Below are 16,813 nucleotides of genomic sequence, written 5' to 3'. Positions count from 1 at the left end.
GTTCAACATGTGCACATCTCCTACACGCCAGGCACTGGAAAAGATGAGCAGACTTTTCTGCTGGGGCAAAGAAGCCAGGAGAGAAGGAAAAAAAAAGAGAAGAGAACAAACAACAGGAGAAAAAGGGTGGGGGAACAGGAGATGAGACAGTCAGGGAGGATAGGCCTTGACTATCAATCTTTGCTCTACAGAAGATTGGCATGTAAATCATCATTATGTCTAATTAGCATTTTAAACATGACCTTCAGAGTTAAAAGATTTTACGCCCAGATTTTTAAACATCTAATACTGTAGATGAAACGGTGACAAATTACAACCTGCTGCCTGTTTAGCCACGGAGATAGAAATGGTTGTTATATTTTTAAAAGGTTATTAAAACAAAAACAAAGAAGAATATGTGACCAAGACCACATGTGGCTTGCAAAGCACAAAATTATTTCTAACCCTTCAGAGAAAAAGTCTGCCAATCCCTGCTCTGAATATTTTTACAATAGCAAACACACAACACTTTAAAATCCAGTCTAACAGATAAGTGAAGTAACGATTTTTGAGAAATGATTTCCAAAAGTGATGAAGGAATGGTGATAGATCTAAAAAAAATGGTGATAGATCTAAAAAAAAAAAAATAAGATACACACTGGTAGGGTCTTTATATGATAAGACAGTTTTCCTGGACAGTAACCTGGCTTCACACAACAAATAACAAATCTGTTTCTATCTTCAGATCTGGGATATAGTCTCCAAAGTAGGTTTACCTGTAGTCACAAAAAATACAAAAAGAACCCAAACTCTTTTTCTGATTTGTTTATGGTGTCATCATTCAGCCTGCAAATTAAATGGCAAAGAGAATGACATTTCTGAAGCACAGAATATGAAACAGTAATATGATGTAATAACAGCTATTAAAAATGACAACTATGGGCATTACATTGAGATACGAGAGAGATGTGAAATGAATTCAAGTAAAAAGACGAACTGTAAATAACAGGTAAATATAGATTTCAACTACTTCAACTGTAACTATACATTAAGTATACTGTTCAGAACCAGAAATTGAGGGCAACATAAATGAAGCTCCAATGTAATTTCCCAATTTTTTGTGTGTATAGATTTTTTAAATTTAAATCTAGTTCGCGTCATTTTGAAAGTAAAGCAGTCAATAAAATTTCTCTCTTAAAAGACAAGGTTTGAAAATGCATGTTAAAATTTTAAGAGTTCAAAGACGATTAAAACGATGACGCAGCAACTGGTGAAGCCAAGAAATTCTGCTTCAATGAAACAAGTCTGATTCCTTGTTCTGGTCACACCCTGACCTTTTGGAAAGGTACATAAAAGGAAGGCATTCGTGCCACAACCTGTCAAACAGTTCTAGATTTTCTACTTTGCTATTCTATTTCGGAGGCTATTAAAAGGCTCTTTCTATATAACCTTAAGACCCCCATGCAAATGAGCATCTCAAGAATAAGCCCCTTCACTTTGGGGAGCACTCTTACAAGTTTCCCCTGTCTAATTAAAAACTGGCTTATCTGGTTCTTTCTTGCTACAGTACACAGGCAGCACTTTAAATACTATAGGAGCTCCATACTTCAGAAGCAAGTTCATGTTTCTACTCACTTTCCATTTTCTCTTTCCCAATGTAGAGAGTTACAAGGAAGATTTTATGCCTTTTCAAAGAAAGTAGGCCTCCTAAATAAATCCAAAATGAAAGCAGGAATTTATGTGAATTTATTATTGTCTTTGTACTTGTCTTTTTTGTGTAGTTCAAACCGAAGCATTAAGTGAACTTTAAGAGACTGCCCCCTTTTTCCTTTTTTAGGAAAGGAGATAGTGGAGTAGGGGAAACAAAAACTACAGCCTCCAGTACACCCCTCCAGTTCCCTTTAATAAATAAGAGGCAGCTCCAGGATGAACTTCCCGTTAGCATGTTTAAGCTCCATCTGAAAACCACCTTTTTGCTTCTGGCGCCTCCTTAATTTATAATCCACTGCTATAAACTTCTCCAAACAACTTGAAGCTGAAAATGCCTTCCAAAATGTTGTCAAGGAAATGAATGCTTCTCAATTAATTCTTTAGTCATGTTGGGACAAAACGCTCTCTCATCAGAGCTACTCTTTCTGAATAAAGAATTCGGTCTCTTCTTCTCTCAGCTTTCTTGGCATCAGAAATTGAATTCGTGGGAGCTGACCATGCCATCTAAAACAGTCCAAAAGTAAGACTCTAAACTCTGTTGCAAAATGGTTTATTCTGTCCCTTTGCCCTACCCCACAAACGTATTCAGCTACATAGTAAAATGCTATGGCAGAAAGTTCAACCTTACTTGGATGTAGTATATTCAGCATCCTGAACTCTGACCTTTTACTTTTTCGGCAGGACAGTCATGTAGCAGGTAACGATGTTTCAGTCCGTGATGGACAGTATATACAACAGTGGTCCCGTAAGATTATCATGCCATATTTTTGCTGTGGCTTTTCTATGTTTAGATACACATATACTTGCCGCTGTGTTGTAACTGCCTACAGTGTTCAGTACAGTCACATGCTGTATAGGTCTGTGGCCTAGAAGCAACAGACTACATCAGATAGTCTAGGTGGGTAGTAGGTTATGCCCTCTAGGTTTGTACACTCTGTGATATTCGAACAATGACAAAATGCCCAATGATGTATTTCTCAGAACGTATTGGTGTCATTAAGCAATGCTGACTGTACATACATATCACAGACAACTCAATTATCCTTTTTTTTTGAGACGGAGTTTCACTCTTGTTGCCCAGGCTAGAGCGCAATGGCGCGATCTCGTCTCCTCGCAACCTCCGCCTCCCGGGTTCAAACAATTCTCCTGCCTCAGCCTCCCGAGTAGCTGGGATTACAGGCATGTGCCACCACATCTGGCTAATTTTTTTTTTTTTTTTTTTTGTATTTTTAGTAGAGATGGTGTTTCTCCACGTTGGTCAGGCTAGTCTCGAACTCCCAACCTCAGGTGATCTGCCCGCTTCAGCCTCCCAAAGTGCTGGGATTATAGGCTTGAGCCACGGCACCCAACCAACTCAATTATCTTACGTATGAAAGTTCTGCTTACGGACTGAGTGCCCCTGGCCCTGGACAAAAAAGATGATGGGCTTTAAAATCACCCACTCCATATGTCTACTGGTTTTCCACACTAAATGAGGCGATGATGCACTCCTTGCTGAAGGCACACACCATGAACTAAAGGAGTCTGCTGGAGGGAGTGATTATTTGGCAGAGTTGGAAAAATCTTACAGAGGAAGGGATACTTGAACCAGGCCTTGAAGGATGAATATGAAATTATCTGCAAGCAAGAGTAGGAAGTCAAGAAAGGCAGAGAGACAAGAAACACATGCAGAAAGCAAAACATATTCACAGACAGGTGAAGTACTCTGCAGAGCTGTCAAGGGCTAGAAGAATATAATTAAGGTGTTTAAACAGCAATGTTAATTCAAATTCAACACATTTAAGACAGACTGTTGTCTTCCCCACTTTCCCTAGGCAGCCAGGCTCAAAACTGTTATCTCTTCTTTTTTCTTCATTCTTAGTTCTCATGTTCAATTAGCATCCAGTTGATTTCCTCCTTAATTCTGGAGACCCACCACCATCTTGATGCCTAGGACACTGTCCCAGTGCGCTGCTCTCAATTGGTCTAGTAGCTCCATGTTCATCCCTTCCTGGTCCTGTAGATACACAGCAACTAAATGCCTTCTTAAAGTAGGGCTTCAGTATGGTACTAGTCTTTAATGATTAGCAACTGATGATAAAGTAAAAATCTAAACCAATAACCCGGCATGCTAGAATATGTCTTACCTTCCTCCCAGCCACTGTTCCTATTCACTACCCCAAACACAAGCCTGATGTTCCTGCATTTATCCTTTGTTCTGCCTCAATGGCCCTGCTGTCCCCTTTCACCCACCCAACTCCTACTCATCCTCTCCAAGGCTTTGTTCAAATACCATTTCCTCCATATGTGATCGCCCAAGTAGTTCTTCCCCTCGCAATTCCTACAGCTAGAAGTATCTGTAAAATTAAAATAGCTTTTGTTCTATACTTTGTTTTTTCACAACTAAGCTGTAAAACTTGAGAGTAAGCTCTGTATTTCACTAGTCTTCCTAAACTGTCCTGACTTTAATGCCTACTGTAAGTGTGATGAACATCATCTGTTGGTGACGATGAAGAAGCCAACAGCATGCCTGGGAGCATCCGTGCCTGGGAGCCATCCCTGCCTGGGAGCCATCCCTGGCTGCGAGTCATCCCTGGTCTGCCCTTTTCCTCATCAACATGTCCTGGTGCCAAATGTCTGTAATCCAGCTGCTGTGTCCGCCTCCACTGCCAAACCTGGCCCAGGGCATCCCACTTTCCATCTGAACAACTGCAGCACCTGCTGAAACGGCCGCTGGTTCCACTCTTGGCTTTTATAGAGCACACCCAGCAGCACTGCATTGGAGTGACTTTAAAACAATACACAAACAAATATTCCTCTTTTAAAATACACCACTGCCCATCCATAGCCCGTAAGATAAAGCCTAAACTCTCTATCAGACTCAACTATGCCATCAATTGCTTTTTTGTCCCTTTCTCATATCCTATCACCTCCCCAGCCAGCTCCCAATACACAACATGGCAGCAGAAGTTTCATCTTCTTTGGAAGCAGTCTAAATGCCAGCTCTAACTCAGGGATCACAGGCCTTCCCAGCCTCTAATCTGTTGTCGATGCCATCCCACCCTTTGCTCACCATCTCCAGGTATGTGGTGTTCTGTTCCCAGAGAGGCCTGACCTAGTCCTGGTGCCACCCCTGATCCTGGTGCCTCCCCCTGCTCTTCTCATGCCTAGGTCTCCTCCTCCCTCAGATCTCAGTTTCAATGGCACCACCTCGGAGCAGGGATCCCGTCACCCAGGCCACAGCAGCAGCCATGCTCATCCTCTGTGGACTTCCTTCGGCAAACTCATATGGCTCTGTAATTAGACCCCTTTACTGCTCACCTCCCCAGGTAGCCCCCATGGATGCTGGCACTCCGTCTAGAAAGGGCAATGAACAAACGGGCATATTAGAGAGGCTTAGCCAAGAACTGATGTTCTCTACTTAAAGAAAGTCATTTCTGTAAATGTGATTAATTGGGGTAACACTATAATAATAAAGGGTCAAATCAGCCAATTAAATTCTTTTAGGGCAGACTATCAGAAGTTTCTACTCTGATAAACACAGCAAATCTATTCTCTGCTCATTCTTGAGATTCTGAAACTACCCATAACACAAGGATGTTATAAAAAAACTAAGTGAAATCAAAAGTAATCTTTAAATCTTTAGTTTTATGTTTATTTCCTTCTCCAGCCCCACAGAGATAGAAAAATAAATAGACTGACATAGGTCTCCACATACTGGGTTAGTTTTGATACTCTCTGTGGGAGGCCACTGAATACAATGCTCCAATGGCAGGCAGCACAAGAGGATGGAGTCCTGGAGGGCGCAATCCTCTGTAAATGACTGAAATGGAGGCTCCAGGAGGACAGTGGCCTTGTCAGTTCGTTGCCACCATCTTGCCAGTACATAGATGCTGCTGAGATGTCTTGAGTTATCTCCTGTGTATGTATTAAACGACTAAACCTGTAATCAACTCCCTAAACAACACCCTAATTATATAGAAGGTCCCTTTACTGTGAAATATATCTGTGAAGAAACAATACACAGTATATCTCAATAACTTTAGACAATGCTAATTCTTGAACTGCAATCTATTATTGGTAAACACAACCCCACAGCATATGGGTTAAGGCAGTGATGACATTTCTTAAGGATGTCCCAAGACTTATTATGACAGTGAATATTTTCATAACCCCTTTTCTGATCACTATGAAAGAAGCCTATAAATAAAGGAAATGGTAACCTCTTTTGCTCAAGCACCCCACTCAGGGGGTGATAAAAATGAGATGTCTATTCCTTTCCTACCAACAGCAGGCATTGTAATTTTTAGGCGGGGAACAAAGTTGATAGCTTTGGTCGCACAAGACAGTAGCTGTTAAGGAGGCCAAGCAGGAGAACAAACAAACCCACCAAAAACCCCGAGAGAAGTCTCTTATCTGTTATACTAAGTGTCAAATCCCTGTACCAACTTTCATGTAAGGAAGAGAAGCTAGAAGTTGTGGGAAACTATTCCCTGGACTAACCAAATGGAAGACTATACAATTAACCAATGGGTCCTGCTGGCCTCCAGCTCCATCACTGAAGTAGACTGGGGGCTGTAGCATGGAGAGGAGAATGGCAAACACGAATATCAGGGAACTTTCTAAGGATTTTCATTGTCCTTCAAAATCCCGCTGTCCTTAAACTTCTGGCTTCATTTCTAGTGAATGTTCTCTGTGGGTTAGAAAAGACTCATATCAAACTCACAGCCTAAATGTGAGGTTTCAGTATGAAGTTTCTTACAATTCAGGGACTGATCAATATAAACAATTTAAGTGACAAAAGTGCAAATATTTTGAGCTCAGTAATACTAAACCATTTACTATTATTCAGAGGTGTAGGCAACTGGTTACTGATGAATGCTAATAGGACCATAAAACTATGTTTCAAAATATATCTAGTCATATTAATATGTTACCATAAAAATCACAAGCATCAAATGGTCTTTAAAATTGTTCTTAAAAACATAAACAACTTTGTAGTTGAGAGAACCACAAAATATCTACGAGCAAAAATATACATTTAAGTTTCTATAAAAACTCAAATCCAAATAAACCCCAAAGATATTTAATTGGTCTGTATTTCATTATTCAACAGTCAACTTTTAAAAACTAGTCCTCCTATCTTCCATTTATGATACGCATTGGCCCTCTAAGCCTTACTCTATTGAAATGGAGGCTCCAGAAGGGCAAAGGCCTTGCCAGTTGGTTGCCACCATCTTGCTAGTACCTAGCCGCTGCTGAGATGTCTTATCTCCTCTGCATGTGGTGAACACTGGAGATAACCAACAAAATATTTCACCAAGATCTTATTTACCTAAGTATTCCATTTTTCTAACTTATTTGAACAGAGGAAAAGTCCAAATCCCTTCACTATAATAGCAAATGGCAAAGTACTACGTATTTCTATTTTGCAGTATTTCTGTAATAATCTTTATGAGAAATTAGGGCATTCACATTCCCAGAGAGAAATGAATGCAGCAAACATCTGACCATCATTCTATGGCTAAGTCACTCTTTGGCCCTAAGTACTTAGGAAGATGATTTAACTCTGCTCTTCCAAGCACCAGAATCAGGAACTCTGGTAGAGTGTCGGGCCATCTAGATGGACATAGAATCTTTATCCTCCACAGAGCCAGAGCTGCCACCTTTACCTGAGCCTTTGATTTCCTTCCTTCTTTGGATTTGTTGTGGCTTAGGAGGAAGAGAACCCATGGGAAGCGCTCAAATGCAAGGTCGCAACCATAGCCTGCCACGTGTCACATCTCACACCCCCGTATCTCCACCCTTAACCCAGAATTCAAACTCACAAATCATTCATTTATATTACAGCTTTAGTACACAAAATGATAGTCTTGTGTCTTTCAGAAGGATGATGCAACCCTGTGAAGAACTTATTGCATGGCACTCACAGACCAAATGAACCCTTATTTGTCCTAATTATGTTTTCCTTACAAATTATAAATAGATTTTAAGTCCCACTTTGATATCATAAGAACTCATTAACACTTTAAACAATGGATAAGGCGGTTTTGAAAACTGGATGCTTACTCTATATCATCCAAATATAAATCCTAAGGAACCAGAGTTTCTATGTGGAAGAGCATTTTACTTCAATCCTAAATTATATAACAAAAACTAATTTAAGAACATTGAAGGAGACATCACAGGAGAAAATGCAAACTATAAGAAGAGGCAGAAGTAAAAACAGTATAGGTAAAAGAGTGAGGACTTATCCACTAGAGAAAATTAACCAGAGCTAGGTTTTACTCCTATCACATTACTATTACTCATAATAACAATCCTCGGGAAAGTTCTACGATAAATCTGAACACCCCACACTTCCCTCTATGCTACAGACACTAGTCTAACAAGAATTTTGTTGATTTGTTTCATCATTTGAAACCTTCCAAAAACCTCTCCAGAATTAGAACATCTACTGCTACTAATAGTGGCAACCACTGTGTTATATAAAATAAACAAATATCTTTAAACTGACATGAGTAATCTGTGTTAAATTGAAATTTACAAGTGCTTAGTTTCCTTAGAAGCCTGGATAAAATATGTCTTTGATCTTCTGAAACTGAACATAGTTATTATCGCTTTTGAAAAACTCAGTAAGAATAGGGTTTAATCAAACAAGGTTGTGATTACAAAAAAGAAAAAAGGAAAAAAAAAAGAAAAGGAAAATCACTGAGAACCATTAAACTATCAAGACCTTCTGGACAAATTTCATCTTCTGAGCAGTTGTTAGGAACGCCTTATAGTAAGTAGATAAAAACAAAGTCTAGATCCCTTAAAAGAGACTCAAGCCCAGCTTATTTTCCATCACCATAAGAGTACAAGGAACAGGTAATGTCAATTTTATTTTAAGTGTGCTCAGGATTTCAAAAGATACTCAGAAACTGGAGCTTCTAACTGAACCCCTGAGCACTAAGAAACTTCACAGGCTACAATCACTATTCAAGATCCTTATGACAATCATTCGGGAGCTGCTATGAAGACTATAAACTCGAAACACAAGTGAAGAAAAGATTATGAAAATATTGTAAAGAAAGCAAAACATTATTAACTGAACATTACTGTGAAATCACTTTGCTTCACAGCCAGACTCTCATTACCAGGGAACACTTAGTGGATACTGCTGCCTCGGGAGTGTATTCTCAGCATTAACAGGGAAGCAAAGAATCTAATAAGAGGCTATGCAGTTATTCACATAAATTAATCAACAAAAGTAAACTGGGGATGAAAAGCAGGCTCTGCACACACCACATAGTACTCACGGACTTTAGTGCCCATGTGACATTAAACTACAGTGTATGTTTCAGATATTCAAAAAATAATGTCTATGTTACTATGAAACTTGGACCTCCTACAGAGATCCTATTAGTCTCCTTAAGTAGTTTCATCAGTATCATCTGTGAGTCAAACTTTATATTTAAATGGCAAAACAGGCTCATCAATAATTAGGCCTTGGAACATACCCAGATTAACAGCATAAAATAAATGATTGTTGTGATACAACTCTACAGGCCTGGATTTATACAACAGAATACCCAATAAAGTCCTGTATGACAGGGGAATGGAAATGCTTTAATATTAACATAAAACAAAACTTTAAATGACACAATAAAGCTATAAAAACAGAAACAGGTCCTCCTCCTCACAACACATACACATGAGGCAAAACAAAAATAGCATAGAGCTACATAACTTAGACTTAAAGGGGATTTGCTGTCCATGTAGCCCAACCACCTCACTTCACAGATAAGGAAGCTAGAGCCCAGAAAAGTCGCTCATGATGACCTAGGCTGGATTTGAGGCCCTATGTCTCATTCTATCCTCACTAGACCTGCCTTCTCTCAAAAAATAAGGGGGGGTCGGGGGGAAGCCACTTACATTCTTAGCTGACTCATCAAAGGATCTAAAAATCTTAGGAATCTTTTTTTTCATTTTCTCTCCAGGACTGAGAGCTAAACAAACTTTTGTTGCAATAGGTCTCCAGAAAACCCTAAATTTTACAAGTGATCACAGGACTGGAAACCTGTACAGAGCCACCATAATGTCACTGCAGAAGCACATAGCCGTTCATTTTCAAATCCTTTTCACATACATTACTCACCAAGAACCACAGCTCAGGAGAGAAATGGGTCTGAACTTTGCATCAGATCAATGGGACTGTGCCAGAATCGGAAGAGCCTCAGACATGAAGCAGACCAAACTGTAATATTCAAAAGAAAAATAAATTTCCTGCAAGCCGCAGGGAGCTTTCCCCAGAAGGTCTCAGAGTTGATGAGAAAGAAAAGGCTCTGTGGGTGCTTATGACTATGAATTCGGTTTTGCCATTCTTAGAAAGGTTGTTAGATATATATATATATATATAATCTATATCTATTTTTTTTTTAATTTAAGAGACAGGGTCTCTGTCACCCAGGCAGGCTGCAGTGCAGTGGCAGTCATAGCTCACTGCATCCTGGAACTCCCGGGGTCAAGGGATCCTCCCGCCTCAGCCTCCCGAAGTGCTGTAATTACAGCCATGAGCCACTGCGCCCAGCCTGTCAACTACTTTTAGGTTTAGTTTCCCCAACAAACCAAAGAGAAAATCTCACCCAGGAACCAAAAGGAGGAAAAGCTTTGGGAAAGGAGCATGCTGGGAAAGGGGCATGCATGCCATTTACTGAGCTGAGGGACCGCAGGAGGTCCTGCCTCCTTCCTGGAGCAGCTGCACCCTAGGGCTGCATGACACGTGCTCTCTCTACATAACCCGGGGATGCCAGTCCTCTCTGAGCTGACCATGAGGGTGTGTTGCCAAAGCTGAGTTTTCTGGCCTTTTCCTTTTATATTTAAAATCTTTCTAATATGGTAGGATTGCTAAGGGTGTCAGCAGGAAAAACAAGGGCTAGACCAAAGATAAAGCAGAATAAAAGATTAAACCAATAAGTCAAAAGACTTTTCTATATTAAGTAGAAAGTATGCCAAACAAGTTACTTTAATTCCCAGTGTGACAGAGTTGGACTGGCTTCCTTTGTTGGGCACATAGTAAGCAAAAGACAATACTGCTCCTATTTTTTATATACATGATTTATTATTGTACAGACTGGGTCTCACTATGTTGCCCAGGCTAGTCTCGAACTCCTGACCTCAAACGATCCTCCCGCCTCCACCTCTCACAGTGCTAGGATTACAGGTGTGAGCTACCATGCCAGGCCATACCACTGCTTCTAAACCACACAATCACACAACCACTTATGACAGTTACCAACACTAGGCCAAACACAGACATTAAACAAAATCAGAATTTTATAAAACTTCAGAGATTACCAAACTTTTGAACATTCAATTCACAGATTAATGATATCACAGATCTAAATGCTTAAGTTTCAAAAGGGAAAGATAAGAAACATCAAGTTCTAGAATACATAAATATATTTTGTTTCAATATAATTCTCTAAAGTGCTATTCAAACAAACAAGTACATTATAAAAGCCCAATATTATTGGTATTAAAATTACCAGTAAAAATACAAAATTAACAAATTTCTTTCTAGTTAGTGATACAGATTCGTCAAATTACTTTGAAACAGCTTCGGAATTGATAATTTTTAAAAACATCCCAAGACATTCTATCACTTCAATAGCCAAATAAACTTAAAGCAATTCATCTGTCACTGATGAAACACATATTGACTGATTCATGTTTATCCACAAAACATAAAAAAAAAAAATCTGCCTTCTCTTTAAAGATGATTGAAAATGGAAACCAAAATGACACAGTATGTAAAAGTGCTTGATAAACATTTTAATTCTAAGATATTGTAAGCCAGCTAACAGTAAAGTTTACACAAAGAGAACGGTGAAATACAAGTAATGCTCTAACGTGGTAGGGCAAGAGTAGGAAGGCGGTTAGCCGTAATTAATTTGGAGTCTAATCCTAGTTCAACCATTAAGTACTAATAACCTCATAACACAAGTCACTAATGTCCACTGAGCCCCTATTTTCTTATTTAGAAAGTGAAAGAACCGGACTACAGATATTTCCTAATTCAATGGGTACTACCTTTGAAGACATGGGAACAGACCTATGAGGTGTCAACACTATTACGTATTTCTTCACAGGTGTGATTAAATGAGAAGACTCATTTTTATCCCTCATTCATCAGATTAGTGAGCTGAAGCCTTGTCATCTACCAGCAACTCACAGCTAATATGAGTAAAAGCTGGAAGCACAAAGCGGGTCTTCAAACTCTGAATCCAGTGCGTTTCTCAATTAGGTATAACTGAGCGTCTGTGTACTATGAAAATGTGATGGTGCCAATTTTCTAATGTACACATTTGCTGTGGTAGAAAGAAAGGCAGTCATTCATTCAATACATTAACTGATAGGCACAGTTCTTTCTGGGTGCAAAGAGTAAAGCAGTGAATAAAAGAAAACACCGCCGGGTGCCACGGCTCACGCCTGTAATCCCAGCACTTTGGGAGGCCGAGGTGGGCGGATCACGAGGTGAGGAGTTCGAGACCAGCCTGGCCAACATGGTAAAACCCCGACTCTACTAAAAATACAAAAATTATCCGGGCGTGGTGGCGGGCGTTTGTAATCCCAGCTACTCGGGAGGCTGAGGCAGGAGAATCGCTTGAAACTGGAAGGCGGAGGTTGCAGTGGGCCGAGATCACGCCACTGCACTCTAGCCTGGGCTAAAGAGTGAAACTCAGTCTCGAAAAACAAAACAAAACACCACGACCTCATTGAGGTCACACTGTGGTTGGGAAAGACCACCAAAGTAAATGTGTAAAATATGGGGTACGTCAAAGTGGTAAGTGCTATGGAGAAAAACGAACAAGGATAACAAGCAAGGATTCGGCAATTTGCAATTTACTTCTTTTAAGCCAAACGGATGCCATTTAAAGAACTATAACAATAATGCATCTAAAGTAGTTTTCTTCAGCATTTTCCCAAACAGGGAAGACTTTGGTCTGCTGACTCCAATTTGGGATGGGTTGCTCAAACCTCGGAACTGCCAGCTAGAAGCTGTCTGTCACATTAGCAATCCAAATTCTGTACTAACGATGCTACCCCAGACCCTACTGCCGCCCCGCCCCCCCACCCCTCCACACTCCCCACCGCCAAAGAGCGCAAATGGATTCACAAAACAAATCCAAGAGAAACCAGAAGTTACAAGGGCACTTGAATTTCTTCTAAGTTTAGCACAGATATCTCCCCAATGCAAAGGTTAAAAGTGTAGCGTGCGTGGTGGTTTTGCTGGGACAAAGCGCTAAGAATACACATCATTTTGCTTTTTCTGACCTGTCAATTGTAGTGATATTCTCTACCACTAGCTTATATTTAACCAGCTTACTGGTCAGTTTCTCCAGTTTTTAGCATTCCCCCCTTTCCTTTTATTAAAACAGCAACCTAGTTTGCAAGAAGGTTGCTAAAAGAAAAGATAGTCTCCTGCAAGATCTGATACACTTGTATAAGCACTGTCTTATCAACCTTTTAATTAACCTGGTTAGTTGAGTTGGCAAATCAGGTTAAGCTTTGCTTTACTAAAGTATTAAAATGCCCTTTGTCGCAAGGCTCTCACGGTCCTCGGGTTGTAACAGCATCCTGAGAATTCGCTACAGTTTACTTCAACGTGTAACTCCTCTTTTAAACAGTTACCAGAATGGAGCGGAAAAGACACGTTTGGCAAGGAGAATTTCGCCCGGAGGTTCGGACTACCAACCCAAGGAGAACATCGAGAGGGTTTTCTCTGCCTGCACCCAGCGAGGCGCTGTCTGTCTGGCCTCCCAGCGGGCAGGGCGCTCCCCGCCTGGTTGGCGGCGCCGGCCCAGCCCCCGCGCGTGGATTCAGAGGCGAGCGACTGGCGAACTTCAGCGGGGACCGCGGGCCCGGCCTGGGCGAGGGGGTGACTCTTCCCCGGCGCGGCCTCGCCCAGCCCGCAGGTGCGGGTCCCGGCCGGCCCAGGACGGCGTCTGGGGGCCTCAGGGTCTCCGAGGTCGGGCGCTCGCCGCGGCGGTGGGAACCGGGAGGGACAAGGCGGGGGATCGCGGCCCGGGTCCGGGGACAACTCCAAGGGGCGCGGGGGTCCAGTGGGGAGCGCGGGCCTGGAAGCCACAGAGGCCGCCTGGGGGACGCGGTCAGCGGGGCCGGGTTCCGGCGCTTGCCGGGAGGGACGCCGCGCCAACGGTGACGCGGGGACCCCGGCGCCGGGGACAGGGGACAGGGTCTGGGGGCCACGCCCGGCCCGGCCGCCCCGCCTCCGGCTCCGGGCAGCACCGCCGCGCCCGCCCGCCGTAGCCCCCTCCCCACCTGATGTACGGGCTGGCCGCCGCCAGGATGTTCTTCTGCACCGGGATCTCCTCCCCGTCGAGGACCAGGTGCGCGTCGCAGAAGCGAGACTCCTCGCGGAAAGAGCTGAGCGCTCGCAGCAGACGCGCGGCGTGCTGAGGGTCAGACACGGCACTGCCCTCAGCCATCGCGGCGCCCGCTCCTCTGCCGACGGGTCCGGCTCCCGACACCGTCCGGCCGGACCCCTCGAGCGGCCCGAGTCCTGCGCGCGCGCCCGCCCGGCCCGGCTCTCCGCGCTCTGAGCAGAAGCTGGAGCCCCCGGGACGTGCCTGTGCTATCCGCGGCGCGCTGGGCCGGCGCCTTTAAGAAGCCGCGTCATGAAGTCATTTCTCCGCGACGCCCCCGCACCGTCGCTCCCCGCCTTCTCGCCTCCGCTGCTGGAGATGGCCAATCAGAAGCCTCCTTCCTCCGCCCGCCTGACCAGCTGCGGCTGGGTGCAGCGGAAGGTGTCTACGGATGAGATAGGTCGCTCCCGCGATGGAGGGATGTGCGGGCGGGCTAGGATTCCGTGGTTAAGCCTGTGGCCTCTGGAGCCGCGAGTTTGAATCCTGGTTGCAGCTGTTCCACTTACTAGCTCTGTGGCCATGGGTAAGGTGCCCATCCTCAGTTTCTCCGTCTGCAAAATGAAAGCGAATTCTTAGTGTTGTTGTGGACTCATGAGATGATGCATGGAAGCAAGGGCGAAGTCGCTGTAGCTTTCTTTATTTATGAGAGAAAAGGAGCTGCCCAGGTGAGAGGACAAAAACCCGAGAAAACAGACCCGGAAAAGATGGTTTTGGTTGCGGGCTAGGAAGGAGATGTAGCAGATGAAGCTGGAGAAGTCCGAAGGAGGCCTTAAATTTTGCAGGGCCTCCTTGGTGTGGGAAGGAGTTTGGTTTCTGCAGTGGTGAAGAACCATGGAAGTACCGTATTTAGCAGGGGATTTTGTGCAGGTCACTCAGCTCCTGCGTGGAGAATAAGGCGGGGATGGATGTGCTAAAGGCAGATCGATGCTTAGGTATTGCAGGACTAGAGAGAAGGGAATGGGCACCTGGATGAAAGGGTGATGCGGGGGCGGGGGTAGACAATAGTGGATTGTTTTAAAAGAAATTGTGAGGGAGAGGGAGTTAAGGATAAATATTCTGTTTGAGTAACTGCATGCATGTTTGCACCTTTCAGGGAGAGCTAGGAAATGCTGAAGGGGTGGGCAGTAGAGAGGCAGATGTTTAGATTCAGACAGGCTCCCAACCCAGTGAAGATCAAAGCTGTGATAGAAAGGATCGCTGGGTCAGCTCAGCTGGCAGGCCAAGCCCCACGGTATCTGAAGTTTCCCTGGAGGTTGCTCAGGGCACATGGGAGTGTGGAATGTAGCAACCATTTTGTGCAAACGTTAGGGACTCCATAAGCCTCTAAAAAATTAGCAATTGTATGAGGACTCCGGACCAGAAGAATGTGGCTAGCATTCCAGGCAAGACAGGATGGAATTTTCACTGTCCTTCAACCAACTGAAAGGCTCCAATAAAGTCTTGGGTATTTACCCTGAACCAGCCAAGGCTTTGGAGTCACTGGCAGGAATCCGAGTATCTAACTGTTTTCAGGGCAGAATAGATGGGGAGGGTACGGCTGTGGAAGACACATGCATTTCCACTTTCTTCTGTAAATGCAGCTCAGTGTTCCCGGATGCAATGATAAAGATGTCTAGGATTTGCTTCAAAACAAAACAAAGGGATGGGGAAGCAGATGGGAGTGTAGATGAGTCAAAAGTGGCCGCAAGTTACTAATTGTTAAAGCCACGTAATGGGGATGTGGAGATTCGTTGTACTGTCTCTATATTGTTGTGGATGTTTAATGGGGATGTGGAGATTCATTGTACTGTTTCTATATTTTTGTGGATGTTGAAAAATATTTTCTTCTTTCTTTTTTTTTTTTGAGATGGAGTCTCCCTCTATTGCCCAGGCTGGAGTGCAGTTGTGCAATCTCTGTTCACTGCAACCTCCGCCTCCCGGGTTCAAGTGGTTCTCCTGCCTCAGCCTCCCAAGTAGCTGGGACTACAGGCATGTGCCACCATGCCTGGCTAACTTTTGCATCTTTAGTAGAGATGGGGTTTTACCATGTTGGCCAGGCTGGTATCGAACTCCTGACCTTGTGATCCGCCCACCTTGGCTTCCCAAAGTACTGGAATTACAGGCATAAGCCACCACACCCGGCCGAAAAATATATTTAAAAAGGTAAGAAACACACAAGACAAGCAGCTTGGACTTATCTTCTCCATGATACCTACCCAGTATCCCTGTGAGCAGCTGACATTCCTTTCTCCAAGCAGTTGCTGTATTTTGAACATTGCTCGAGCAAGAAACTTTTTATAATGGGTTTATTTATCCATGTCACCTGCTATACTATGTTTATTGTAGCTCAGCATGATTTCCAGGTACCAAGCACAGTACTTGGTGCGTAATAGTGCTAACTGAATGTTGGATGGATGGAGGGATTAAAAAAAAGAAAAACACCTGAATATCAGACACTTAATAAATGTTTCTTGGGAGGCCGAGATGGGCGGATCACGAGGTCAGAAGTTCGAGACCAGCCTGGCCAACATGGTAAAACGCCGTCTCTACTAAAAATACAAAAATTAGCTAGGTGTGGTGGCAGGCACCTGTAATCCCCACTGCTCAGGAGGCTGAGGCAGGAGAATCACTTGAGCCCGGGAGGCAGAGGTTGCAGTGAGCCGAGATCACGCCATTGCACTCCAGCCTGGGTGACAGAGCAAGACTCTGTCTCAAAAAAAATAAAAAATAAAATA

The 16,813-nt window shown here is 43.3% G+C and overlaps 1 protein-coding gene across 2 annotated transcripts in view, besides 4 other annotated features; it reads right to left on the bottom strand.

Moving 5' to 3' along the window:
• GAN (gigaxonin) overlaps window positions 1–14,314 on the bottom strand; it is a 75,848-nt gene extending 61,534 nt beyond the window's left edge. For both annotated transcript variants that reach the window (NM_022041.4, NM_001377486.1), the window contains exon 1: window positions 13,996–14,314. In NM_022041.4, coding sequence (NP_071324.1) covers window positions 13,996–14,162 — 167 coding nt within the window. In that variant the 5' untranslated portion in view covers window positions 14,163–14,314. The remainder of the gene's footprint in view (window positions 1–13,995) is intronic.
• Window positions 13,438–13,707: a silencer, noted in NCBI's record as "silent region_7755". NCBI's record gives its function as "represses an Ori minimal core promoter by ATAC-STARR-seq in GM12878 lymphoblastoid cells {active_cell/tissue: GM12878}" and the evidence as "EXISTENCE:reporter gene assay evidence [ECO:0000049][PMID:35858748]".
• Window positions 13,728–13,787: a silencer, noted in NCBI's record as "silent region_7754". NCBI's record gives its function as "represses an Ori minimal core promoter by ATAC-STARR-seq in GM12878 lymphoblastoid cells {active_cell/tissue: GM12878}" and the evidence as "EXISTENCE:reporter gene assay evidence [ECO:0000049][PMID:35858748]".
• Window positions 13,928–14,267: a silencer, noted in NCBI's record as "silent region_7753". NCBI's record gives its function as "represses an Ori minimal core promoter by ATAC-STARR-seq in GM12878 lymphoblastoid cells {active_cell/tissue: GM12878}" and the evidence as "EXISTENCE:reporter gene assay evidence [ECO:0000049][PMID:35858748]".
• Window positions 14,278–14,477: an enhancer, noted in NCBI's record as "active region_11178". NCBI's record gives its function as "activates an Ori minimal core promoter by ATAC-STARR-seq in GM12878 lymphoblastoid cells {active_cell/tissue: GM12878}" and the evidence as "EXISTENCE:reporter gene assay evidence [ECO:0000049][PMID:35858748]".

Source organism: Homo sapiens, chromosome 16 (genome assembly GCF_000001405.40).
Source record: "Homo sapiens chromosome 16, GRCh38.p14 Primary Assembly".
Lineage (NCBI taxonomy): Eukaryota > Metazoa > Chordata > Mammalia > Primates > Hominidae > Homo > Homo sapiens.
The sequence above is the reverse complement of the archived record's forward strand: the minus strand, read 5'-3'. Positions and strand labels throughout refer to the sequence as shown.